The sequence below is a fragment of the Homo sapiens genome, chromosome 6 (assembly GCF_000001405.40).
Source record: "Homo sapiens chromosome 6, GRCh38.p14 Primary Assembly".
Taxonomy (NCBI): Eukaryota; Metazoa; Chordata; class Mammalia; order Primates; family Hominidae; genus Homo; species Homo sapiens.
The window spans coordinates 47,084,550-47,085,210 of NC_000006.12; the positions used below are offsets into that span (position 1 = coordinate 47,084,550).

General features: G+C 45.1%; 1 annotated feature.

Annotated features, from left to right (window-relative positions):
• Positions 250–450: a silencer, noted in NCBI's record as "peak5829 fragment used in MPRA reporter construct". NCBI's record gives its function as "represses an SCP1 promoter by STARR-seq MPRAs in K562 erythroleukemia cells {active_cell/tissue: K562}" and the evidence as "EXISTENCE:reporter gene assay evidence [ECO:0000049][PMID:32103011]".

Sequence of the window (661 nt, forward strand, 5' to 3'; positions counted from 1 at the left end):
AGCTCAACCAGATCAGCACTACTTCTATCTATGGCTTCCACATAAGATTTATTTGGAAATGGCTCCCAGATAAAACAAGCATGAGAACCACTTCATTTTACTGGTGTAGAAACGGAGGCTCAGAAAGGGTGTGATATGGCCAGGTCACATGGGAAGTTAGGGGCAGGCCTAGGACTAGTAGCTGACTCCTCAGCCAAAGCTCTCTCCACTCTGTGGGCTCTGTTACAGTACTGAGTCCTCCAGTTTGCTGTGTTTCTTGCCCTTCTTCTTAGGAATCTGCAGCCAGCTATTCCTCAAGCCCTCAGCTGTGGATCAAATCACTCTGAATTCTCAAAAGCTCCTATATGATGCCAAGTTCTCAGTAAAACTGTTCTTGGCTTTTCCCAAGTCTTCCCCAATCACAGCACATCCTGCTCAGCCCCGCATCATGCTGAGCCTTATTGGAGCCTAAGGCAAAGGAAAAATACGTGGCCCTATAAGCACTTATCAAGATATCCTCCTACACTTTAAATCAAGTAAAAGCATTAATAAAACCTCTGCCATTAAAACCAAAACCAAAAATCTTGTCTATACACAAAGCATCTCATCATTACCAACCCTCCTCATATGCCCACACAGGAGGATGCAAGAGCAACGCAGATCCAGGAACCAAGTGCTGATG